General features: G+C 38.6%; 1 protein-coding gene and 1 pseudogene across 2 annotated transcripts in view, besides 1 other annotated feature; one reads left to right on the top strand and one right to left on the bottom strand.

The window, feature by feature from the left end:
• CFAP161 (cilia and flagella associated protein 161) overlaps positions 1–27,787 on the top strand; it is a 49,772-nt gene that overhangs the window by 6,534 nt on the left and 15,451 nt on the right. Inside the window, exons 1-2 of one of the 2 annotated variants that reach the window (XM_017021963.2) lie at positions 12,851–12,892; positions 21,649–21,783. The gene's annotated coding sequence lies outside the window, so the exon portion shown is untranslated. Of the gene's footprint in view, positions 1–12,850; positions 12,893–21,648; positions 21,784–27,787 lie in introns of those variants that run through there. The other variant, XM_006720408.3, reaches the window with a different exon arrangement.
• Positions 5,664–5,823: an enhancer, noted in NCBI's record as "active region_9948". NCBI's record gives its function as "activates an Ori minimal core promoter by ATAC-STARR-seq in GM12878 lymphoblastoid cells {active_cell/tissue: GM12878}" and the evidence as "EXISTENCE:reporter gene assay evidence [ECO:0000049][PMID:35858748]".
• Positions 11,198–12,399, bottom strand: ANP32BP3 (acidic nuclear phosphoprotein 32 family member B pseudogene 3; annotated as a pseudogene).

A 27,787-nucleotide genomic window follows, 5' to 3' on the forward strand; every position in this document is an offset into this window, starting at 1 on the left:
CGCTGGGGCTAAGGCTATGTCGATGAAACAAAAAGACCCCTGTCTTTATGGGGCTTACACTAGTCCAAGTTGCTCATTGCTAAGAAAAATTGCCCATAATAGGGATTTGCAGAGAAAATGCAAAGTGTCATGAGAACCAGGGAGTAGCAGACAGCTTAATCTGGGCTGGGGATGTTGCTGAGGGAGATGACTTCTAAGATGGTCTTGATAGATGAGTAGAAATCACACGGAGAAGAAGGGTCTTGAGAAAGTAAATTCAAATAGAGTTAAAAGCAAGGGCAAGAAAGACATAGTTTGGGGGAGTCTCAAGGATTTTGATATTTTTAGAACATAATGTGAAACAGGATTATTTGCAGGAGTGAAACCTAAGACTATTGCAAGTAGACAATAATTTAATAGGCTTCCGACATCAGACTGACGGGGTTTCACCGTGTTAACCAGGATGGTCTCGATCTCCTGACCTCATGATCCGCCTACCTCGGCCTCCCAAAGTGCTGGGATTACAGGCATGAGCCACCGTGCCCGGCTGGCTTTTAACCTCGGTGTTTATTACAGTGAGAGAAGATGTATCATTAGTTCCAGAAGCAAAGGTTTACAACTCCCTTTGGAATCAGAGACCCACTTGTAAACTGGAGTCTTCTGAACTGAGCCTGGAGAACACCTTGCTGTCACTGCATCATTTTTCTAGTCACAAATCAGAAGCTGTACCCACGAATTGCCACATGAGGGCACACTTGCCCAATTATGAAATTAAACACGCTCTTTCAAAGGTCAGGGAAGCCCTTGTCCTAAACATTTCTTCTGGATGAGACATTACTTTTGAGCATGAGAAACAGCCCAGTGTGGCTGTGTGGTGGCTCAAGCCTGTAATCCCAGGACTTTGGGAGGCCGAGGCGGGTGGATCACTTGAGCCCAGGAGTTCAAGACCAGCTTGAGCTACATAGCAAGACCCCATTTCTACAAAATATTTAAAAATTAGCCGGGCGTGATGGTGTGCACCTATAGTACTAGCTTCTCAGGAGGCTGAGGTGGGAGGATTGCTTGAGCCAAGGAGTGCAAGGCTACAGTGAGCTGTGATCACACTATGACACTCCAGCCTAAATACAGCAAGACCCTGTTTCAAACCAACCAAAACAAAAAACAAGCCCAATGCGACTATCTAAAACCTGCAAACATCTGCTGAATGAGGTGCCTGGAGGAATTTGAGCAGAAAACTGGTTCCCATTCTTGGTCTGCTGTCAGACTTTTCATAATAATAAGCAGTAGTATTTACCGAGTACTCACTGTGTCCTAGGTACTGTGCCAATGTGTCACACACGTCATCTTACATACATATCCACACTCATCATATAACGTGAGTGAGGTTATTTCTCCATTTTACAGATGAGGCAACTAAGTCATAGACTGTGATTCCACCCAAGGTTTACACAGCAGGTGAGTGCTTGGTTCTGCCATTTGGATTGAGAATATCTGACTCCAAAGCCTGTGATTTAAATTACAGAGGCTGGGCACAGTGGCTCATGCCTGTAATCCCACCACTTTGGGAGGCCGGGGTGGGCGGATCACCTGAGGTCGGGACTTTGAGACCAGCCTGGCCAACGTGGAGAAACCCCATCTCTCCTAAAAATACAAAATTAGCCAGGTGTAGTGGCGTGTGCCTGTAATCCCAGCTACTCAGGAGGCTGAGGCAGGAGAATTGCTTGAACCCAGGAGGCGGAGGTTGTGGCGAGCCGAGATCATGCCATTGCACTCCAGCCTGGGCAACAAGAGTGAAACTCAGTCTCAAATAAATAAAATAAAATAAAATAAATAAACAGAGCTGGTCATATAATATTGAATTATTTTCTAACCTCTTGTAACGGAAGTACCCAAATAAAACTGATGTGTATAAACATGGTCTGAGACCCACAAATGCTATGAACACATGAGGAAGGCTTTATTTTTCAATGTTTTCTTTCTCCTTTCCTCCCCTCTTATCACATTTTTTTTTTTTGATGGTGGGTTTTAGTTCTGACTCCCATGTTAACTTATGTTTTCCCATACTATCTCTGCACTTCCGTTTCCTCGTCTGTGAAACTGAGACACACCCTATCTTCTCCCATCAGCTTAAGGGAACCGGAGAAGCTGACGGTTTGGGGAAATGAGTCTGCCTTGATACCCTTCTGTGCACATTCATCCAGTATCTTTAAGTTCCTGGAAATGGTCTCTTTCTTAACTTTACCCTATTGTACTGTAAGTGAATAATTGCATTGCTTCCAAACCTTTTATAATTGCTGACTTTTAAATTGCAGAAAAATAGAAATGGACCCAAACAGATTCATTCTTGTTGCATTCTGAATCTTATATTCAATATGTGAAATGCTTTTATTTATATTTTTCTGAAGCCATAAGGGCCAGCATTTTTTTTTTTTCCCAACCAGCAACAGGAGATGAATGGGTCAATGAGAATCAGATGAGTGTTCCCACAGTTGTGGCCAGATAAGGGGTAGGAAGTAGAAAAGGCCCTGGACAAAAAGTCAAGTGACATTAATTCTAGCCCCTGCTCTTCCTCCTGAGGGGCTTGTGGTCCTCAAGGGTTTGGACCCACTCTGGGCTTTTATTTTCTCAGCTGTAAAATTAGAAGGGCCAAACTAGATCGGTGGTTTTCAATCTATGCTCTACAGATTCTTAGGGCCCTCTGGTGGGGCAAGGTGGAAGTTTTGGCCCCAACTCACCCTTTGAGTCTATCATAAGACCACCCTTTTTAAATCTGTGAGGCAACTTCAAAAGTTCTTGGGAAAATGTAATTAAAAGGTAAAAATAAAAAATATAAGCTTTATTTCTCAACATAACCTCCATCATATTCAAGACACTTTTGTAAGCAATGTTACCAGCCATTTAGTCCAGCTGTAAAGAATTGAGGTTCCTGGGAATTTAACCATGTCAATGCTGTCTTTTTTACATTATTAACTGAAGAAAAAAGGGTTTCCTTTAAAAGTTTTTCAAGATTCGGAAACAAAAAGAGGTCAGAAGGAGCCAAATCAGGACTGTAAGGTGGATGCCTAATGATTTCCCATTGAAACTCTCACAAAATTGCCCATGTATGATAAGAGGAGTGAGCAGGAGCATTGTCACGGTGGAGAAGGGCTCTCCAGTGAAGCTCTCCTGGGTGTTTATCTGCTCATGCTCTGGCTAACTTTCTCAAAACACTCTTATAATGAACAGATGTTATCATTCTTTGGTCCTCCAGAAAGTCAACAAGAAAAATGCCTTGAGCATCCCAAAAAACTCTTGCCATGACTTTTGCTCTTGACTGGTCCACTATTGCTTTGACTGGGCCACTTCCACCTCTTGGTAGCCATTGCTTTGATTGTGCTTTGTCTTCAGGATCATACTGGCAAAGCCATATTTCATCTCCTGTTGCAGTTCTTCAAAGAAATGCTTCAGGATCTTAATCCCCCTTGTTTAAAAGTTCCATTGAAAGCTGTGCTCTTGTCTGCAGCTGAGCTGGGCACAATGGTTTTGGCACCCATCAAGTAGAAAGTTTGTTCAACTTTGCTTTTTTCGGTTAGAATTGTATGTGCTCCAGCCTGGGCAACATAGTAAGACCCTGTCTCTACAAAAAATTTAAAAATTAGCTGGGTGTGGTGGTGTATGCCTGTAGTCCCAGCTATTCAGGAGGCTGAGGCAGGAGGATCACTGGAGTCCAGGAGTTTGAGGCTGTGATGACCTATGATTGCACCATGGCACCCCAACCTAGATGACAGGGTAAGACCTTATCTCAAAAAAGAATTGCGTAAGTTACCAATTGAGATGTCTATGATGTTGGTTATTGTTTCTACTGTTAATGTCAATTCTCTTTAATCAGGGCATAAAGAAGATAATATTTTTCCTTCCAAATTGATGTGGATGGTCTACCACTGCAGGCTTCATCTTCAACATTGCCTCATCCCTTATTAAAATTAATTATTCATTTTTAAACTGCTGATTTCTTTGGGGCATTATTACCATAAACTTTCATAAAGCATCAGTGATTTCACCATTTTTCCACCCAAATTTCTGCATAAATTTGATGTTTGTTCTTGGTCCAATTTTAGCAGAATCCATGTAGCTCTGATACGAGATCTTTGCAAACTGATGTCTTATCCTTCTTAGTGCCTCAAAATAGATCCTGTTCAGACATTCAGTACAGGTTAGTGTGAGTTTGTTTTGGTGCAAAATTTTTTTAAATCCATGTATAGTTTTTTCATAAGATGTGTCTTCCATGAACTTTTTGAAGACCTCTCATATTTGTTTTATGTAATTGAATTCTGTCTTGCTTTTGTTTAAAAGAAGTCTCCCCTGCTTAAAAGGGGGCAAAAATTTAAAAAATTTTCTGGTGATTTTGAAGGACAGCATCCTCCTATAACGAAAATATCAGTTAAAGGTCTCTATGTTTTTTGATATCTAGAATAAATGACTTGAAGCCCCCCACTCCCTCCATCCCCTTTATGCCACTTAGAAGTCTGAAACCCTCCCCAGGATATCTGTGAATTTCCAGGAGGGTGCTGTTCTCCTGGTCACCCTTGCCTCTGGGTGCTTCTGGAGAATGCATCACCACAGATGGGAAACTTCATTTCTTTTCACTCTCTTAGGCAGACTGAGACTAAACACTACTCTGGGTCCATGCCGGCATTCCCATACCCACCAGAGTGTTAACTACAAAAGGGTTTCCCTTTTTAGAAGCCAGTGGAGAAAGTAAATAGTAAGAAATCTCTTCCGCTCTCAGGATTTCATAGTATAAGCAGGCATATTACCCAAGTGGTCAGCTTCGGTGGAAGGGGACTGGAGACTGACCACCAGATGATCAAGGGCACTAAAAAGGGGATGCAAGACCTTAGGCTCATAGTCCTGTTCCTGGGGACGAATGCTGGGCTCTGGTGGCCATGCTGGGCTGCGGAGAAGCAAAGGTGCATTGTTGGTGTGATATTCTTTCCCCCAGGGGTCTGCTAGAAGCTGAAGGCAAAAATAGATGGAGACAAAAAAGACTAGGAGACCCTTTCTATGTAGAGACATCACTCTATGTTCTTTGCAGAGAATAGGAATACGTGCCTTTGATCAGATGAGCTATTAAAAAATGATTATGTAGTTCTGTTAAACTGGATTATTTTCAATATCCTGTCTGCTTTTTCAAAGGACTGTTATTTAGTGGGAAAACATTGCTGAATTCCTTTCAGAGAAATCCTCCCTGTACTGACCCTTCGGCAACACACCTTACACATGTAACTACTTGTTCAGAACAGTCTTCTCCTTCTGACTCTCCACAAAGGCGGGGACCATGAGTATCTTATTTCCCACTGCATCCAGAAGGCTGAGCACAGTGCTTGACGCACAGTGAATTTTGGTTGAATGAACAATTGAAAGGATTTGCCCATTGCAGTGTCATTTTTCCAAGACCTGACAATATCACTTTTGATTCTTTTCTTATTTAGTTCCACCTCCTTATCCCCGCTGCCACTGCTTAAGTCAGCACACGGCATCACCTCTCCTGGGGCTATCTTTAACTAGGCTTCCTGACCCCCTACCCTGGCCTGTCTGCTTTAAATCCAGGCAATGGCCTGTAGCCCCAGCAACCTTCCGAAAGCTCTACTCTCTGTCCCTTGTCAATTTCCTCTTCTGAAAGTTTCAGGGGCTCTCCACTACTTGCAGAAGAAAACCACCAACTCTTGCCTCGATGCTGAAGGTACTTTCCCATCATCTCCCCTCTGCCTCTCATCACCCTGTGTCCCTCCTGGCCCTTGCTTTCTTGCTTCTGTGCTTGGCCTCATCCTCCTTCCTCTGCCTGGAAAGTGCTTACCTCTGTTCTTGCATCTGCATGTCCAAATCCTATTCATCATTTCTATTATTATGTCATTTAAGTTTCAAAAAGTCTCTGAGTCATTGTTCCTTAAATAGCAGTTTTAAAAGGTGATTCTAAAGAAAAGGATTTGATGTTGAAATTAGCTTAGGAAGTGTTGTATGGATTATTGCCATTTTGTAGATTTATAGTGCAGGCCATTAATTCAAGGATCTGAGAAGATCTGCAATCAAGAAACCTATTTAACTCAGCATTTCTCAAATTTATTTGACCATAGAACCCTTTCCCCTTTCACACCTATTAACATATTGCAGATTATTTTGGAAATACTTTCCCGAGAGTTACCAGTAATATCTTTAATCTGTTTTTAATGATGAAGATGCTGAGGCTCAGAGACAAAAATACTTGCGCAAGCCGAGTGAAAGGAGCTTCAATCTGTTTTTTTTTTTTCTTTACTACACTGTGATGACTTACATTTGTCATCCAACAAGAACTTTTAAACTTTCCGAACTATGGAAAGTAAGACAATAGCCTGTATTTATCTTTCCTAATATCTGAATTTTGTCCCACTTCTCTTTTCTAAAAATGATTATTCCCAAGTTTTTCTTTCACTTTTCTTTCCTGCCAGATGTTTTACAAGTAATGAAAGGCTCCAATTAAATTTTCCCAAGAGCTTCATCAAATAATGAAAACAATACATAGAGCATGTTATATCTTTATGAACTTAAAATTAAAACATAATTTTGAGATTACATATAGGTATAATAAAACTATATAAAAAGAAAAGCAAGTGGATAATGAACACAGGATTTAGGAGATGGTTACCTTGGCTGGAGGTAGGGAGGGATGGGGAATGAAAGACTCTTATATTTAGATGTAGATTATTATCAAGATCTTAGCTTTTATTTTGGGGTTATAGGTTTACAAGTGCTTATTACATTATTTAAAAATAACCGGCTAAATAACTAGAGGACCACTGCTGAGAGTGTGTCATAATCCAATTTAATGTACCTGAGACCCTAAAATAAATACATAAATCATAAAAAAGAAAACAATAGCAAATTAAGTTTTCTAGTATATAGCTAGTTTATGTCAAAATAATACTTTTAAAGCGAGGTGAGTGGTGGCCTGATTTTAAGGGGATATTTATTGCTAAGTAATACTGAGTAAATTGCACAGCATCCAATAATGTATGAGTGCATTTCTGTTTTAATCTTGGCTTTGAGAGTTTTTGAGGAATGTAAATTTAAAACTTGATATAATCACATGTAAAATGAATATTTTATGATAAAAAGAGTAAAAAGTAATAAAAGGAGAATTTAAAAAATCCCTTGCATATTTATTATTTTATTATCACCTGGCTTTTAAATTCATCTGCGTTGTAAGTTGTGAGATGATTCTTTATGTTACTTTGTTTATCTTGTTAAGATTCATTTGGGGAGTCAAGGGACTCTGCTCATGCCCAAGTCTGTGCCCTCTAATGAGTAACACCAGAGACTGCACAGTGTCCAGGAAATAGACTTCAGCAAACTAGTCTAGCCAAGGTCACTGGAGTGTTTTCCAACACTAACAACCAATTATTGATTCTCCAGACACCAACTGGGTGTCCAACAATTAAATTCCACTCTGACATTAACTACCTGGAGTTAGTGTCAGATTTCACAGGCTAAAAGCGTTCGGTTTTACAAGACTGCCTTCACTTCAGATGCCAAGTGCAAGTCCTGGGCCACCCATACTTCTGGCTGTAAAATCAGGAGTTCCCATGGCCCCCTCCTCAAGTTCAATTATTTGCTAGAATGACTCATAGAGCCAGGAAAGTACTCTGCGTTTACTGATTTATTACAAAGGATGTTATAAAGGATACAACTCAGTAACAGCCAAATGGAAGAGATGCATAGGGTAAGGAGTGAGGAAAGGGGTGCAGAGCTTCCATGACTTTTCTGGGTGCCACCTTCCCAGCACCTCGATGTGTTCACCAGCCCAGGAGCACATCAACATTTATTGTTCAAGAGTTCTCTCAGAGCTTAATCTCCAGCCCCTCACCTTTCTTCTTGGAGCTGGGTCAGTGGAGCTAAAAGTCTCCACTCTCGAATCACTTGGTCCTTCTGGTGGCCAGTCCCATCACGAGGCTATCTAAGGGCTCCACCCTAAGTTACCTGATTCGTATAAATTCAGTGTGATCAAAAGGAGCTTATTATGAATAACAAAAGACATTCTCATCATTCAGGAAATTCCAAGGGTTTTAGGAGCTCTGTGCCAAGAACAAAGAAGAAAAACCAAATATGTTTCTTATAATACCACAGTTGCCAAACAAATATACTAGCAAACAAGCAAACAAAAACAATGAGCCCTGGGCATGGAGAAAAAATAGACAGAGCTGCTACAACATACAGGCATACCTCAGAGATAACGTGGGTTTGTTTCCAGACTGCTGCACTGAAGCATATATTGCATTAAAGTGAGTCACATAGATTTTTGTTTTCCCAGTGCATATAAACATTTATACTTACACTATACTGTGGTCTATTAAGTGTTCAATGGCTTTATGTCTAAAAAATGTACATATCTTAATTTAAAAATAGTTTACTGCTAAAAAATGCTTAGAGCCATTTGGGCTTTCAGTGAGTTGTAATCTTTATGATAGTGGAGGATCTTGCCTTGCTGTTGTTGGCTGCTGACTGTTGAGGGTGGGGGTTGATTAGGGTGGCTATGGCAATTTCTTAAAATAACACAACAAAGAAGTTTGCCACATTGATTGACTCTTCTTTCACATGTCAATCTAAACAAACAGAGAGAGGCTCTCTGAAAGAAAAGATGTATGTTTGGGGATAGAACATCGCAATGGGAATATGCATGTCATAGTAAACTAAGTGCATATTCATGGAGGTAGAGGAAGACGAGGGTTTTTGTTTGTTTGTTTGTTTTAAGACGGAGTCTCGCTCTGTCGCCCAGGCTGGAGTGCAGTGGCGCGATCTCGGCTCACTGCAAGCTCCGCCTCCCGGGTTCACGTCATTCTCCTGCCTCAGCCTCCCGAGTAGCTGGGACTGCAGGCACCCACCACCACGCCCAGCTAATTTTTTGTATTTTTAGTAGAGACAGGGTTTCACCATGTTGGTCAGGATGGTCTCTATCTCCTGACCTTGTGATCCGCCCACCTCGGCCTCCCAAAGTCCTAGGATTACAGGCGCAAGGGTTTTTAAAATAAAAAAAATGAGGATTGCATAATTGTTTTGAAACAATTATCCTTGGCTAAAAAGATCGATAACAAGGGTGATGCCAAGTCCAAGGTGGGACAGGCAGTTGTTGGGAAGATGTTTTTGCAGAAGGATTTTTTGTATAAGTTTGTGACGACTTTTGTGCAAGGTTGTGGTTTGTGCAGTCTTTTTTATTATCAGGCATACAAGCATGAAAACTCTTTCTTCATGGCCTTCTCTGGCTCTACTTGTCAGGGAATTTTTTCTTTTTTTAGCATTAGTGACTCCATTTTGATTCTGATAACTTTCACATTTCCCGTTTTTGATCAATATCTTTTTCCAAAAGCATCACTGAACAATCAACCTGTAGTTAGGTTTTGATGTCTCTGGATGCTGGGATGAACCTGTTCCAGTGGTTGGTCTTGTGTCACACTGGGAGCAGTGGAGGGGGGTAATTGGTCACTAGTAGTCAGTGTCAAAACCCTTTTAGCTACATTTGCGTAAAGAGGAAGGTTGGAGGAAGTGGCTTTAAGTCAAGTCTGCTAGAATCCATTACTAAGCTCAATTTTGCAATTATGTCAAAGTGCTGAGCCAGTATTATTTCGTACTTCTGAAGACATTTAATAAATAACAGATCCAAAGTTTAAAAAGGGAAAATACAAAGTAAAAATTAATAATTATATGACAAAATTCTAGTTTGCATAATGGGTTTCAGCTAGAACCTAGGCTTTTGTTTTTCATTTGTTTTGAGACAGGGCTCACTCTGTCACTGCAGCTGGAGTGCAGTGGAGTCATTGCCTCTCACTGCAACCTCAATCTCTCAAGCTCAAGTGATCTCTTATGGTCAGCCTCCCAAGTAGCTGGGACTACAGCAGGTACCACTGTGCCTAGCTAATTAATTTTTTTTTTTTTTTTTTAACAGAGACAGGGTTTCACTATGTTGCCCAGGCTGATTGCGAGCTCCTGGGCTCAAGCAATACTCCCACCTCAACCAGAATCTAGGCTTAAAGACAATTAATTGAATGAATCAAATGACTATAGGGAATAAGTGAGACCTGTTGTAACCATGTGGCCTGTTTTCTTATGTTGTAAACATAAGTCTGAACTTTTCCAGAGAAGAATGTGTTTAGGTACAGCATGTAGTATTAGCAACAGTACAGACGTTTTCTTATTTAACCAGTGGTTACTAAAGGATTTCTTAGAGTAGGTTCCGTTAGGTTACCAGCTATTAACTGTGGAATTTCGGTTACACCATTTCACTTGCCAAGTGAAAAAGGTTACATTAAGGGAGGTAAAAGTCTCATTATGTTATGGAGTCATTTCTTTTTTAAAAATTTTATTTTATTAAGAACAAATTTTTTGAGATGGATTCTTGCTCTGTTGCCCAGGCTGGAGTGCAGTGGCACAATCTTGGCTCACTGCAGCCTCCGCCTCCTGGGTTCAAGTGATTCTCCTGCCTCAGTCTCCCAAGTAACTGGGACTACAGGCGCACGCCATAACGCCCAGCTAATTTTTTTTGTATTTTTGGTAGAGATGGGGTTTCACCATGTTGGTCAGGCTGGTCTCAAACTCCTGACCTCAGGTGATCCACCCGCCTCAGCCTCCCAAAGTGCTGGGATTACAGGCTTGAGTCACTGCGCCTGGCCTGGAGTCTTATTTCAACATCTTGGGAAAAGCTGTTTATGGTGTGAAAACATCAACTTTTTCCCCTGGTTTGTAGTGTGAGTATCTCTGGTCATGACATTGGGTGGCTTGGTGAGTTTTTTGTGTGATTCATACACCGAGCATGAGGCTTGTTTCTTAAAATTTGTCTAGTTTCAGCTTGTAGGGCTTTAGGAATAGGGCAACTTTTGTTTTTAGTTGGAGAGTTGTAGCCAAATATTAGAGAAAATTAGGAGAATTCAGGGTCTAGTCTAGTCTACAGGTAGATAATGAGAACTTGTAAACAATTCACAAGGCTGCAATCCAATACAGATGGCTTATAGTGTTGTTTTTGGAAAACTAACCTTTTCTCTCTGCACTGATCACTTAGGAATCTCATATTAAAAAACCTTTTGGGGCTAGGAATCCATAGGAAGGCAGACTTTAGATTTTTACATACAGTTTTAAGGTTCTTGGACCTGCCAGGAAGTGACAATTTTTACTCACTGTGAGGCTGGGAACTCTGGAAGCCAGGCATTTTCTGCACATTCTTAAATATGATATTTTAGTCAAAATCTTGGTAATATAACCAATGTTTCCAATTGTATCATACTTATAAAGAGATTATACATATATATATAATATACACTATATATATTCAGTGTTAAGATTTTATTTTCAAAGCTTTTTTGTTGTACAGAAAGTAAAAATGCTGTCGCAATCTCAGTGTAATTGGTAGCCACAGATGGTTGACTCACCAATCACAGCTATCCACGCTACAGCAAGAGTCTCACACAAAAAGCTAACAATGCTTACAATTTTGTTGGGGTGAAGTCCCTAAGCTCGGTGGTAGATTACCAAGAGGGACTAAATGGAGGAAGGCAGAATGTCACAGAACCTATTCTTTGGCTCTTTGGGTGGGTGGATGTCCTGGGGTTTGTATCACAGCTACTTTTTTTTTTTTTTTTTTTTAAACAGCTACCAAATCCATGAATAGTCCAAACAATACTGAACAGTTCTGTTTCTGCAGGTGGTCTGGGGTCTTAACCATCTTCTTCATCATCTGTTTCTCTCTTCCTGTTTTCACCTTTTCCGCTTTCTTCCTCCTCTTCATCCTCATCTTCATCCTCATCCATCTTCATCTTTATCAAGTCCAAATTCTTCTTCCTCCTCGCTGACTTCATCTTTGTCATCATCCCCTTCTACATCTTCGTCTTCATCTTCCTCTTCATCCAACTCCTCTTCTTCACCATCCTCATTCTCCTAGTCCTTCTCATCTTCTCCTTCTTCATCCTCCTCCTCTTTATCCACACCATCCACCTGGGCATCTGAGTCAGGGGCTTCCTGGTCCTCTGGGTCATAGGTATCCAAGCAGGTCAGCTGAGGCAGGAGCTTGAAGACACTCTCTTGGTAGTCATTCAGGTTAATAACCTCACAGTTAAAGAGGTCCAGGCTTTTTAGACATTCCAACTTTTTCAAAGGTTCCAAGGTGCTGATATCTTTCAGTTTTTTTCCACTTAAGTTTAAATGTGTGAGATTTGGAAGTTTTTCTGCAGACATATTCAGACCTCCAAAGATTCTATTTTCACTGAGTACAAATTTTTTCAATTTAGGCAGCTTGGGGAGATTTGAAATTGAAATCAAACCTACATTTATTAAACGGAGGAACTCTAAGTTCACAAATTCAGCTGTTAAGCTCTCAATTTTCCAGTCATTTGATTTGCAGTTGTCCAAGACATGTTCTCGAACCCTCTTTAAACACTCTTACATCTCAGCTGAAAAACGTCGAGCACGCCAGGTAAACCTGATGGACGAATTCCCACAAGTTCGCGGCTTGTTAACCACAGCCACCTGAGGGCACGAAACCCGGCTGCTTGTGGGACCGGAGCGGGGTGGGAGGCCACGCGGGGCCGCCCTCAGCGGGAAAGCCACTCACCCGCTGGGGCGTCCGCCTGCAGCGCCACCTGGCCCCGCGCTAGTCCGCGGGGGGCTCGCGGTGGCGGGCAGTCGCGCTAAACCCGGGAGACCAAAGGGGCGATTCCTCCAGGCCGGACCAGCGCACACGCAGCCGCGCCCCACGAGGGCCGCACCGGGCTGTACTCTAGCGAGGCCAGAGGCTGCACGACCCGCCAGCGGAGCCCAGCTGAGGCCCGCCCCAAACCACCCAAGAGAGAATGTATTTTTATTGAACTTATATAAATAAAAATACTCACGAATAGTTTCTGAATTTTGGAAGAATCAGGTAGGGAGAAGAAGCAATTGCTTCTATTTTTGTATACGTTACCAAATTATTATAAACTATAGATAGCTTGTGAGATAAAATTTCCTGAAATCTGGAAAACATTTAAGTAAAGAACCAATAAGGTTTTAAATAAGAGTCGTCAGAACATTATTTTTATCAATTGCTTAGTTTCATGTATTTTGTTTTGTTTTGCTGGATGTTAATTAGCAGTTTTATGAACCCATTGGTTTTTAAATTAGGGCTCTGGAAATTTTTATTGAGTCCATTGATCTTAAAGTTACCAGATATCTGTTGTTAGAGTGTTTTCCATGAAAAGCAATTTTAGACTATAGCTGATTGCAAATACTTTTAAAGAAGAATTCAAAACAATAATTATAGATGACAAAAACTTAGACTAGCCATGATTAAAATCTGATGAAAGTTCCCAGTTGACAAAGAAATTTATTTATTTCTACTACATGCAGTATTTTAAGATAACAACCAGAATCATGACTGAGAGTGTCACATCAGGACTTTTATAAATTTTTATAATCTTTTATAAATTTTATATTATCGTTAGAATACTCATATTAATAAGATAGCCACACAAATACAGCTTTAGAAAACATTCAACATAGCAATAAAATTATGACTTTTAATAAATTAACAGATTTTAATAACGTTATATAATTTTTGAAACTTTATATTAATAGCATACCCATAATTGTAACTGAAAGAAGATCCAGCACCACTTACCATTTGGCAATGGCTCCCATACAATTTACCTAAGTCTAATCATTTAGTATCTCTACAAGATGAGAGAGACATTTTTTGGGGCTCTCTGGAGGCCCACCCAGAAAATCCCAGTTAATTTTAGGTCAAAAAGAGATAATTTAGAATATTGATTCTGGGGAAACCTGCCAAAGACATTAAAAGGTTCAAAACAATTGATCAAAACCCAATCACAGGCCCCAGCCCCCATGGTGGTTCATGCTTGTAATCCCAACATTTTGGGTGGTCAGTGCAGGAGGCCAGAAGTTCAACACCAGCCTGGGCAACACAGCAAGATCCTGTCTTTAAAAAAAAATTAAAAAAATAAAAATTTAAAAAAACAGAATCACCAGTCACTATAAAATAAGTTATTATCCAGAGTGATAAAAGGCTCAAAAGCAGTACAGAAAGTTGCATGGATATTAAAACCTTAACCTCTTTAAAGCCCAGTTTTCCTAAATAATAAAAAACTTAATAAAGACAAGGCAGGTATTATCTTCATAAAATGTAAAAAATATATATTTTTAAGGCCAATTACCAAAAAGCTAAAGAAAAACCTCCTGTAGTGTGATTGCTCTTCCTTAGGTGAAGCCCATTTAGATAACCTGGAACTCAAATTAATCAGACACATGAAGGGTATATCCTGGATTATGACTGTATGCTATGTTATAGAGAAATGTAAACAAGAAAACTAATACCTTGACCAGGAGAATGCATGGCTCTTAGTAATAGCATGACAAGTTTCCTGGCTACAAGGAACAATTCAGACACCTCAAGGAAAGCCAAGAGTATGGAATCAAATTATATTGGAGGAAAACATTGCTTTTCTAGACCTCCAAAATAAAATGTCAGCATCAGGTCATAACAACAGAGCTAAAACTGAAAAAAATGTTACAGCCATTGGCCAGGCCCAATGGTTCCCACCTGTAATCCCAGAATTCTGGAACACTGAGGTCGGAGGATCACTTGAGGCCAGGAGTTCAAGACCAGCTCTGACAACATAGTGAGACCTCGTCTCCACACACACACACAAGTTACAGTAGTTGACAAAAAGGTTGAAGGAGAGAGTTATCACCAGAGCCAAGCAAAAAGATACACCTTTTCAAGGGAAGAAAGAGCAGAAGGCAATGACGTATGTCCTACAAATCATATGCAGTGAGGTGCAGCAAAAGTTGAACTTATATAAATCTGAGAAGTTTCAAAAAGGAAAATTTTACCTCAAAAAATGAAGTTACCATTCTGAATGAAAAACACAGCATTTTCCAACCTAAAACTAGATAAACTAATTAGATATCTGGATGAAATAGAAACTGTCTGTAGTTTAGAAGATGGCTATTAAAGAAACGGGTTTCAGAATTAAAAATCAAAACCTCTTGCAATTCTACTAAGAGTAAATCAATACTTTAAGAAAATCTTGTTTTTACATGGAGAACCACATTTTAACATTTTGGATTAATGCATTTTTAAGGTCCAAGTTCAATCTTTAGAAAAACTTTTAAATAATTTCCTTCTAATTATAGCCAATTTGATCACACAAACAATTCCTTCTATAAATTATTTTTGATGAAACTTACTGCAACCTACTCAGACCACTGATGACATACTTGGGCTTTCTGCATTTTCCTATACTTCCTCTATCTTAAATAACCAATTATTTTACTTTAGGACAAAATTTACCATGCAAGATTCTTTCTTATTCAAAATTATTCTCTTTTCTTTTTCATGTTCTTTACCAAAAACATATTTTCATATTTATAACTTTACATTTCTATCTGCTACTTGCTGGTTCCATTTTATTTTATTTCTATTTCCTTCCTAAATCTGTATTTTAAAACAACCTTCAAATAACCTCTGAATTAGACAAAATTACTCTTTCTTTCTCAACAGAGAGCATATTTGTATACTTTTCTTATAATTTTTTTCATCAAAAACACATCTGACTTTTTTGGTATATTTTAAATACAAAGTTATATATATATATTAATTAGAATGTTTAACTCTTAGCAACCTTAAATTTTTAGCAAAAACCTGGGAAGCAAGAAATCTTGACTTGTCTGTTACATATCAGTATTTTAGAGATCAGAACTATTTTATAAGTTTTAGAAATATGTTTCCCCATAACATATTTTTTTTAACTTTTAAGTTCAGGGGTACATGTGCGGGATGTGCAGATTTGTTACATAGGTAAACATGTCATGGGGGTTTGTTGCACAGACTGTTTCATCACCCAGGTATTAAGCCTAGTATCCATTAGTTATTTTTCCTGATTCTCTCCCTCCTCCCACCTTCCACCTTCTGAAAGGCCCCACTGTGTATTGTTCCCTTCTATGCGTCCATGTGTTCTCATCATTTAGCTCCTGCTTATGAGTGAGAACATGCAGTATTTGGTTTTCTGTTCCTGCATTAGTTTGCTAAGGATAATGGCCTCCAGCTCCACCCATGTCCCTGCAGAGGACATGATCTCATTCTTTTTATGGCTGCATAGTATTCCATTGTGTGTATGTACTACTTTTTCTTTATCCAGTCTATCATTGTTGGGCACTTAAGTTGATTCCATGTCTTTGCTATTGTGAATAGTGCTGTAATGAACATACACATGCATGTGTCTTTATAATAGAATGATTTCTATTCCTTTGAGTGTACCCAGTAATGCGATTGCTGGGTCAAATGGTATTTCTGTCTTTAGGTCTTTGAGGAATGGCCACACTGCCTTCTACAATGGTTGAACTAGTTTACAATCCCACCAACAGTATAAATGCATTCCTTTTTCTCTACAACCTCACCAGCATCTGCTATTTTTTGACTTTTTAGTAATAGCCATTCTGACTGGTATGAGATGGTATCTCATTGTGGTGTTGATTTGCACTTCTCTAATGATCAGTGATGTTGATTTTTTTTTCTTTCTTTCTTTCTTTTTTTTTTTTTTAGATGGAATTTCACTCTTGTTGCCCAGGCTGGAGTGCAGTGGTATGATCTCGGCTCACTACAACCTCTGCCTGCCAGGTTCAAGCGATTCACCTGCCTTAGCCTCCCTTGTAGCTGGGATTACAGGCACGCATCACCATACCCAGCTATTTTTTGTATTTTTAATAGAGACAGGGTTTCACTATGTTGGCCAGGCTGGTCTCAAACTCCTGACCTCAAGGAATCTGCCTGCCTCACCCTCCCAAAGTGCTGGGATTACAGGTATGAGCCACCGTGCCTGGCCGATGTTGATTTTTTTCATATGATTGTTGGCCTGATGTATATCTTCTTTTGATAAGTGTCTGCTCATGTCTTTTACCCACTTTTTAATGGGGTTGTTTGTTTTTTCTTGTAAGTTCTCGATTAAGTTCCTTATAGATGCTGGATATTAGACCTTTCTTGGATTCATAGTTTGCAAAATTTTTTCCCCATTCCATAGGTTGTCTGTTTACTCTGTTTATTGTTTCTTTTGCTGTGCAGAGCTTTTTAGTGTAATTAGATCCCATTTGTTAATTTTTGCTTTTGTTGCAATTGCTTTTGGCATCTTCATCATGAAATCTTTGCCCATGCCAATGTCCTGAATGGTGGTACCTCATTTTTCTTCTAGGGTTTTTATAGTTTTAGGTTTTACATTTAAGTCTTTAATCCATCTTGAGTTAATTTTTGTATATAGTGTGAGGAAGGGGTCCAGTTTTAATCTTCCGCATATGGCTAGCTAGTTAGTTATCCCAGCATTATTTATTAAATGGGCATCCCCCATTGCTTGTTTTTGTCAGGTTTGTTGAAGATCAGATAGTTGTAGGTGTGCGGTCTTATTTCTGGGTTCTCTCTTCTGTTCCATTGGTCCATGTGTCTGTTTTTGTACCAGTATCATGCTGCTTTGGTCACTGTAGCCTTGTAGAATAGTTTGAAGTTGGGTAGTGTGATGCCTCCAGCTTTGTTCTTTGTGCCTAGGATTGCCTTGGCTATTTGGGCTCTTTTTTGGTTTCATATGAATTTTAAAATAGTTTTTTTCTAGTTCTATGAAGAATGTCAATGGTAGTTTAATGGGAATAACATTGAATCTATAAACTGCTGTAGGCAGTATGGCCATTTTGATGACATTGATTCTTCTTACCCATGAGCATAGAATGTTTTTCCATTTGTTGTGTCATCTCTGATTTTTTTGAGCAGTGGTTTGTAGTTCTCCTTGTTGAGATCCTTCACTTCTCTCGTTAGCTGTATTCCTAAGTATTTTATTCTTTTTGTGGCAATTGTGAATGAGACTGTCTTCTTGATTTGGCTCTCAGGTTGACTGTTGTTGGTATATAGGAAGGCTAGCAATTTTTGCACATTGATTTTGTGTCCTGAGACTTTGCTGAAGTTGATTATAAGCTTAAGAGGGTTTTGGGCTGAGACGATGGGGTTTTCTAGATGTAGGATCATGTCATCTACAAACAGGGATAGTGTGACTTTCTTTCTTCCTATTTGAATGCTTTTTGTTTCTTTCTCTTGCCTGATTGCCCTGGCCAGAACTTCCAATACTATGTTGAATAGCAGTGGTGAGAGAGGATATCCTTGTCTTGTGCCAGTTTTCAAGAGGAAGGCTTCCAGTATTCCCCTTTCAGTATGATATTGGCTGTGGGTTTGTCATATATGGCTCTTATTATTTTGAGGTATGTTCCTTCAATACCAGGGATATTGAATTTTATTGAAAGCTTTTTCTGCATCTATTGAGATAATCGTGTGGTTTTTGTCTTTAGTTCTGTTTATGTGATGAATCACACTTATTGATTTGCATATGTTGAACCAACATTACATCCTGGGGATGAAGCCTATTTGATCATGGTAGATAAGCCTTTGATATGCTGCTGGATTCAGTTTGTCAGTATTTTGTTGAGGATTTTTGCATTGATGTTCACCAAGGATACTGGCATGAAGTTTTCTTTTTTTTGTTTTATTTCTGCCAGGTTTTGGTATCAGGATGATGCTGGCCTCATAGAATGAGTTAGGGAGGAGTCCCTCCTTTCTAATTTTTTGGAATAGTTTCCGTAGAAATGGTACCAGCTCTTCTTTGTACCTCTGGTAGAATTCAGATGTGAATCCATCTGCTCCTGGGCTTTTTTTGGTTCAAAGGCTAATTACTGCCTCAATTTCGGAACTCATTATTGGTCTATTCAGAGATTCAGTTTCTTCCTGGTTGAGTCTTGGGAGGGTGTATGTGTCCAAGAATTTATCCATTTCTTCCAGATTTTCTAGTTTATGTGCATAGAGCTGTTTATAATATTCTCTGATGCTTGTTTGTATTTCTGTGGGGTCAGTGGTAATATTCCCCTTATCATTTCTGATTGTGCATAACATAATTTTTAATGTATATTAATAGACTCATATACTTTAGTCTTTCTATAAAACTTAAGCCAAGAACAAGCTTTTATTTGTGTTTGGCAATTTGTTTCAGTTAAAAAATTTTTTTTATTTGGAAATGACCCAGGCATAGATACCAGAGTATCTATTATTTATTTAACATAACATAACTTTAAGATTTCCAATTACAGAAAAAGTTTATTTAAAAGAAAAGTAAAAAAGAAAAAAAAACAATAACAAGTTCATTTATAAGCATTTATTTGATTTACATTTACTTGATTTTTTAAAAACAGTTTACCTAGACTACTTATGAGAACTGAAAAGTAGACAAAGCCCATCACCATTTCAAGTTATTTCCCTATTAATCATTTTAATAGCCTGTATTAGGTATTTAAATGCAAACCTTAAAGTTAAATATATGAATGTGTTGCTGGTAAATATTCAGCAAAATGTATCAGAAGATACATCTGTTTTCATTAAACTGACAATATTAAAGTCTTATTTGTCAGGAAATTACCCAAACAGATAATTCTGTTTTAGGCTGGATTTATAGTTTTGTAAACTTTGTGTCAAACCCCTATTCCTTAAAACATCTAGCAAAGACAACATAAAACTGACCAGTAAACTTAAGCAAAAATGCATACTGACAATTTTGAAGACATTTTTATTTTTATGTTATCAGTAATTTAAAAACCAGTTTATTTACTAAAGGTTTACTTTAGTCATGTGAACTAAAAGGTATCTGGGCTAATGGCTATATACATATTATATTTTATATGAGTACTCATTTATCCTTAGAGGATTTCTGACCAACGACATCAGATTTTACTATGTAAACACAGCATACAACATGATAAATGTACATATCCGTAACACATCTAAACACATATACACACTCAAATAAAAATCATATAGCTTTCATTTTAGTATTAGAGTCATGAGATAGTATAACAACTCATTGTTTTTTTTGTTTGTTTTTGTTTTTGTTTTTGTTTTTGAGATGGAGTCTCGCTCTGTTGCCTAGGCTGGAGTGCAGTGGCACAATCTCAGCTTACTGCAACCTCCGTCTCCCGGGTTCAAGTGATTCTCTTGCCTCAGCCTCTGGAGTAGCTGGGATTACAGATGCACATCACCATGCCCAGCTAAGTTTTGTATTTTTAGTAGAGCTGGGGTTTCACCATGTTGGCAGGCTGGTCTCAAACTCCTGACCTCAGGTGATCCAGCCAGCTCAGCCTCCCAAAGTCCTGGGATTACAGGCGCGAGCCACCATGCCCGGCCAACTCACTGGTGTATAAAAGAAAGTGAGATCCAAATTATATTTCTAACAAAATTGAGATTTGTTCACATTGCTAAACTTTATTTGCCCTGATAGGTAATTGAATGAAGGCTGAAGATCAAAATTTTGGGTAAAGCAGTTTCCATGTCAGTTTGATTTTGAAAAACTTCCTTCATCTTATTTTTTTTTAGCTTCAAGTGAGTTCAAGGTTAAAATTTCAATATTTACATTTTATCTAGGATTGGCTGAATTGTATAAGAAAAATGAAATCTCCAGGTAGCCTTGAACAAGTAACAAATCTATTTGCTGATCTGGTTTACTTCATTAACAAATGTGGGCAGGGAAGAATTTGAGCAGTTTATTTTTCTCTTTTTCTCAGCTTTTTCCTTTTGGCCTCAGTGTAGCCAAAAAGTAAAATTTTTATGCTGGACAGATACCTTACGTTATTGCTCTGAGCTCAAGATTTTGACCTGTTTGATCTGAGAGCCTAATTTTTATAAATATTTATCTATTTCTTTTCACTTTAGATTATTAATTTGTCAGTTAAGTATTTTATCATTGCACACAATTGTTAGGCAAAACTATTTTATGTTTCTAAAAGATATCAGGGTTGTTGGTTAGCACGGAACTATTGGAATTTGCAAAACCATTGATTTGAAAGTTCTTAAAGACTTTTAAAAATCTTTGCTTGAATGCCATAAGTGGTGAGTTTTATCTTAACACCAGTGGAAAAGTCAGCAAATTCAAAGTAGGTAGAAAAAAATAGAGAGATAGAGAACATGTAAGACTCTCCATTTTAACTCTATATTTGCAGGTTTTTTGAATAAAGACCGTTCGAACTCTGAATTTTCCTTGATAGAATTTGCCTATCAGTTTGAAAATGTACACAAGAACAGGCCATAATATGTAGCTGGCTGGAGTCCCAGAAAACCTGGCATGCCTTAATGTTTGTGAATCCCATTCTGTTTCTTATTAATCTCTCAAGAGCAAGGAAAATCCAAAAATCATGTCAGAGAACATCAGGAATTTAGACCCGTGTTTTAGATGATGGTGATTGCCCTGTGGCTTTTAATTAGCCATCCTGCACCCACCATCCAGAGTGTTTATTTTTACTCTCAGAAGATTTTCAGAAACAAGTAAGGGAAAAAGTCAAACAAAAGCAAAAAACCCAGATAAGAATGCTCACAAACATTTTAACCTAGGTGTGCAGATCACACAAAACATTAAACTAGGTATGCAAGCTAGACCAAAATTAAATTTACCAGAAGATATGCCTCAGAGACAGAATGTAAATTCTGTGGAAACCAAGAGTACTCAATCTGGAAAAAAACATTTGTATTTATACCAGAAAGGACATATCAGAAAAGGCAAAAAGTCTTTTTTCATCCCAAGAATGATGTATGTTTTTTCTTTTTTTATTAAGGTGGGCTTATCTAAATCAGATCCCAAATAGTATTTAAAAAGCCTCTACCAAAAGAAGAGGAGGGGCTCAACCTGAGAGAAAACTCACCAGGGCAGAAAAGATGACAGCCATGGAAGCAGAGCTCAAAGGACTGAAGTGAGTACCACACACTGGTTCCAAGAATCACTGATTCTTCCCAAGACTGATCTTTTTCAGATCCCACTTTTGACACCATATATGTCACCCTCAATAACAAATAGAGAGAGGCTCTCTAAAAGAAAAGATACTTATCTGGGGACAGAGCATTGCAATGGGACTATGCATGCCATAGTAAACTATGTGTGTATTCAGGGAGGTAAAGAAAAGATAAAGGTTTTTAAAGGAAAAGATTAGGACTACATAGTTGTTTTTAAATAATTTTCCTTGGTTACAAAGATCAATAACAAGGTGACACCAGTCCAAGGTTGGATAGGCAAGTGTTGGGTAGATGGCCTTGTAGAAGTATTTTTTGTATAAGGTGGTAATGACCTTTGTGTAAGGCTGTGGTTTTTGTAGAATCTTTTCGTTATCAGGCATATAAGTGTGAGAACCCTCTCTTTATGGTCTTTCCCAGCTCTATTTGTCAGAATTATCTTAACATTAGTGACTCTGTTTTAATTCTGACAATTTTCATACATGAAAAATTTCTCTGTAGCATGTGATGATGTTTGATAGCATTTCACCCATGGTAGAACTTCTTCTGAAATTGGAGTCAATCCTCTCAAACCCTGCTGCTGCCTTATCAAATAAGTTTATGTAATAGTCTAAATCCTTTGTTGTCATTTCAGCAGTGTTATAGTATCTTCACCAGGAGTAGATTCCACCTCCAGAAACCACTTTACTTGTTCATTCATAAGCAGCAACTCCTCCTCAAGACTGCAGCTCCATTTTTAATTCTTCCCAAGAGTGATCTTTTTCAGATTCCACTTCTTCAGGCTCCATTTTTAATTCTAGTTTTCTTGTTATATCCGTGACATCTGCAATTACCTCCTCCATTAAAATATGGAACTCCTCAAAGTCATCCATGAGGATTGAAATCAATTTCTTCCAAACTCTCATTAATGTTGATATTTTGACCTCCTCCCATGAATCACAAATGTTCTTAATGGCATCTAGAATGGCAAATCCTTTCCAGAAAGTTTTCAATTTACTTCACCCAGATTCATCAGAGAAATCACTATCTTTGGCAGCTATGGCCTTAAAAATGTATTTATTGGCTGGTTGTGGTGGTTTATGCCTGTAATCCCAGCACTTTGGCAGGAGAATCGCTTGAACCCAGGAGGCAGAGGTGAGCCAAGATCACGCCACTGCACTCCAGCCTGGACAACACAGCAGGACTCTGTCTCGAGAAAAAAAAAAAAAAGCATTTCTTAAATAATAAGACTTGAAAGTTGAAATTACTTCTTGATCCATGGGCTGCAGAATGGATATTATGTTAGCAATCATGAAAACAATATTAATTTCCTTGTACATCTCCATCAGAGCTCTTGGGTGACTAGGTGCATTGTCAATAAACAGTAATATTTTGAAAGAAATCTTTTTTTTTTTCTAAGCAGTAGATCTCAACAGTGGGCTTAAAATAGTCAGTGAACAAAGCTGCAAACAGATGTGCTGTCATCCAGGCTTTCTTCTTCCAGTTATAGAGCACAGGAAAAGTAGATTTAGCATAATTCTTAAGGGACCTAGTGTATTATTTTGTTTTCATGCTGCTGATAAAGACATCCTGAGACTGGGTGATTTATGAAGAAAAAGAGGTTAATAGACTCATTTCCACATGGCTGGGGAGGCCTCACAATCACGGTGGAAGGTGAAAGGCACATCTCACATGGTGGCAGACAAGAGAAAAAAGAGCTAAATTAAAGGGGAAACCTCTTAAAAAACCATCAGATCTCATGAGACTTATTCACTACCACGAGAACAGTATGGGGAAAACCACCCCCATGATTCAAATATCTGCCACTGGGTCCCTCCCACAACATGTGGGAATTATGGGAGCTACAATTTGAGATGAGATTTGGGTGGTGACACAGCCAAACCATATCACCTAGGATTTTCAGAATAGTAAATGAGCATGGGGTGCATTAGCCACTAACAAGATACTCATCCTGTTCTCTGAAGCTTTGAAGGCAAGCATTAACTTTTTCCTCTATGAAAGTCCTAGATGACATCTTCTAATGTAAGTCTTTTTTGCCTACATTGAAAATCAGGCATTAACTTTTTTCTCTGTGAAAGTCCTAGATGACATCTTCTAATGTAAGGCTTTTTTTGCCTACATTGAAAATCAGGCATTAACTTTTTTCTCTGTGAAAGTCCTAGATGACATCTTCTAATGTAAGGCTTTTTTTTTTTTTTTGCCTATATTGAAAATCTGTTGTTTAGTGCAGCCACCTACATCAATGATCTTAGCCAGATCCTCTGGATAACTTGGTGCAGCCTTTACATCAGAACTTACTGCTTCACTTTGCAGTTTTATGTTATGAAGATGGCTTTTTCCTTAAACCTTCTCTCAGTCTTTATAGACTTGAAAAGAATTAGAGCCTTGTTCTGGATTAGGCTTTGGCTCAAGGGAATGTGGTGGCTCGTCTGACCTTTTATCTAGACCAGTAAAACTTTTTTCATATCAGAAACAGGCTGTTTTACTTTCTTATCATTTGTGTTTTCATTGGAATAGCACTTTTAATTTCCTTCAAGAACTTCTCCTTTGCATTCACAACTTAGCTAACTGCTTTATGCAAGAGGCCCAGCTTTCAGCCTATCTTGGCTTTTGACATGTTTTCCTCACTCAGTTTAATCATATCTAGCTTTTTATTTAAGAGACAGACTTGGCTCACGCCTGTAATCCCAGCACTTTGGGAGGCCGAGGCAGGTGGATCACAAGGTCAGGAGAGTGAGACCATCCTGGCTAACATGGTGAAACTCCCTCTCTACTAAAAATACAAAAAATTAGCTGGGTGTGGTGGCATGCGCCTGTAGTCTCAGCTACTTGGGAGGCTGAGGCAGGAGAATCGCTTGAACCTGGGAGGTGGAGGTTGTAGTGAGCCAAGATCGTGCCACTGCACTCCAGCCTGGGCAACAGAGCGAGACTCCATCTCAAAAACAAAAACAAAAACAAAACAGAGACAGACATTTGGCTCTTCCTTTCACTTGAACACTTGAACACTTAGTGGCCATTTTAGGGTTATTAATTGTCCTAATTTATATATTGTTGTGTCTCAGGGACTGGGAAGGCCTGAGGAGAGGGAGAGAGATGGGGACATGGCTGGTAGGTGGAGCAGTCAGAACACCTAACATTTATTGATTGGATTTGCTATCTTATATGCCCATGGTTCATGGTGCCCCAAACAACTACAATGGCAACATCAAAAATCACTGATCACAGATCACCATAATAGATATAATAATAAGGAAGTTTGAAATATCTTGAGCATTACCAAAATGTGACACAGAGACGTGAAGTGAGCGTATGCTGTTGGAAAAATGGCTCCAACACACTTGCCTGATGCAGGCTTGCCAAAAACCTTCAATTTGTAAAAAAAAAAAAAAAAAAAGAATCAATATCTGCAAAGTGCAATAAAGTGAATTGCAATAAAATGATGTATTCCTGTATCTAAAATGTCTAGTTTTCAACAAAAAATCATGAGACCTGCAAAGAAACAGAAAACTGTGATCCACAGACAGAAAGAAGATAAAAAACAAACAAACAAAAAAGTCAACAGAAACTGCCTTTGACAGAGCCCAGATGTTGGACTTAGCAGACAAAGACTTCAAAGCAGCCATTATAAATATGTTCAAAAAACTAAGGGATACCATGATTAAAGAATTAAAGGAAGGTATGATGATAGTGTTTCATTATGAAATATAAAATATCAATAGAGAGAAATTATAAAATATAACCGAATGTAAATTCTGTAGTTGAAAAGTACCATAACCAAAATAAAAAACTCACTAGCGGAATACAGCAGTAAGTTTGAGCCAGCAAAACAAAAATTTGCAAACTTGAAGACAAATCAATAGAAATTATGCAATCTGAAGAACAGAGAGAAAAAAATGAAGAAAAACAAATAGCATCTTGGAGGAATGCAGGATATCAGTAAGTGCATCAATATACACATGATGGGAGTTTCATAAAGACAGAAGACAGACAAAGGATCAGAAAAAATATTCCAAACAATAAGGCCTGAAAATTCCCCAAATTTGATGAAAAGAGCATTAATTTACATATTCAGGCAGCTCAAGCAGGATAAAAGAAAAGAGGTCAATATCCAAATATATCTAGTTAAAATATTAAAGACAAAGACAAAAAAAATCTTGAAAGCAGCAAGAGTATGTGTAAGGGAAGCAAAATAAGATTAATAGCTGATTTCTCATCAGAAATAATGGAGGCCATGGCTGGGCAGGGTGGCTTATGCCTGTAATCCCAGCACTTTGGAAGGCTGAGGAGGGCCGATCACTTGAGGTCAGGAGTTCAAGACCAGCCTGGCCAACCTGGTAAAACCCCATCTCTACTAAAAATACAAAAATTACCCAGGCATGGTGGCACATGCCTTTAGCCCCAGGTACTCAGGAGGCTGAGGCATGAGAATTGCTTGAACCTGGGAAGCAGAGGTTGCAGTGAGCCGAGATTGTGCTGCTGTACTCCAGCCAGGTTGATAGAGTGAGACTCTGTCTTGGAAGAAAAAGAAATAAGGGAGTCCAGAGGTAGTAGGATGGCATATTTAAAATATTGAAAGAAAGAAAAAAACGCTATCAACAAAGAATCATGTATCCAGAAAAAGCATCTTATTAAGGTAAGCAAAAACCAAGAGAATGTGTTGCTAGCAGACCTGATTTATAAGAAATATGGAAGGAAGTTATTCAGGTTGAAAACAACACAAAGCAGTAATTTGTGTTCATAGAAAAATACCATAGAGCACCAATAAAGATATTTCTTCTCCTGAGTGATTTAAAGCAATTGTATAAAACACTATGTATAATTGTATTATTGGGTCTATTATATATAGAAATGTAATATACTTGTCAAAAATAGCACTAAGGAAGTAGGTGGGAGCAAAGCTGTATCAGTGTAAGGACTTACTGAATGACCCAATCATTAGAACCTTGTTAAAAATGTAGAGACTAGAGCTGCTTTGTTTTATTCTTGATTTTATGAGGAATATGAAAAATACTTAAAAGGAAAAACAAACAAACATGACTTTGGAGTCGGAAAGTTTGGACTGAGTCCTTTCTTTGAGCAACTTTTAGCAGTTTGAATTTAGACTGCTAGCTTCTTTGAGTCTCAGTTTCTGAATTTATCAAATGCAGTTAGTGGTATACTATCTGATCTAACTGCTTTGTCCTATGTGTCCTTCAGAAGTATCCTCGAATGTGGTGATATATTGACAGAGCTGGTGGATTCATCAGAATGTGGGAATGTTCCTATTTTTATTCTACACTTCAGCCTGCCAGTTCAAATCCTTCCCAGTTCAGCTCCAAAGCAGCCCCTCTCCCATCACTCAAAGGCCATCCAATTCCCATTCTCACAGTTCCTCAAGACAGAAAGGATCCTTCAACTCCATGGCCCTTCATCAGCATATATATATATATATATATATATATATATATATATATATATATATATGTATTTTTTTTTAAATTGGAGATGGGGTCTCACTATGTTGCCCAGGCTGGTCTAGAACTCCTGGGCTCAAGTGATCCTCCTGCCTCGGCTTCCCAAAGTGCTGGATTATAGGCTTGAGCCACCACGCCAGCCCATCAGCACATCTTTAATTGCATTTTTCCACAGTCTTCCTTAAGTAATTCGTTTTCATGAACTATCTTTTCTTTTAGACTGGGTTTGCTGAAGGGAGCGGAGGCTCCTGTCTTCCATTTCAGTCATGTCTTACTAGACACTAAATAGAGGTAAATTACTGAATGCATTCAATCTGCATCAAGCCTCCGGTAGTCCTACAGTAACTGGTATCCCTCCCCTCCCCAGAAAATAATATTTTGTTTTATTAATGCTGGCTACAGCAGAGTCTGGTTTTCTTAAGAGTTCCTGCAAATCACAGGTTCGTCCTTTAACTTTGAGACCCAGGGAAGGAGGGAGCAAGGGAGGGAGGGAGGGAGGATGCTGTCAAGTCCG

Source organism: Homo sapiens, chromosome 15 (genome assembly GCF_000001405.40).
Source record: "Homo sapiens chromosome 15, GRCh38.p14 Primary Assembly".
NCBI lineage: Eukaryota > Metazoa > Chordata > Mammalia > Primates > Hominidae > Homo > Homo sapiens.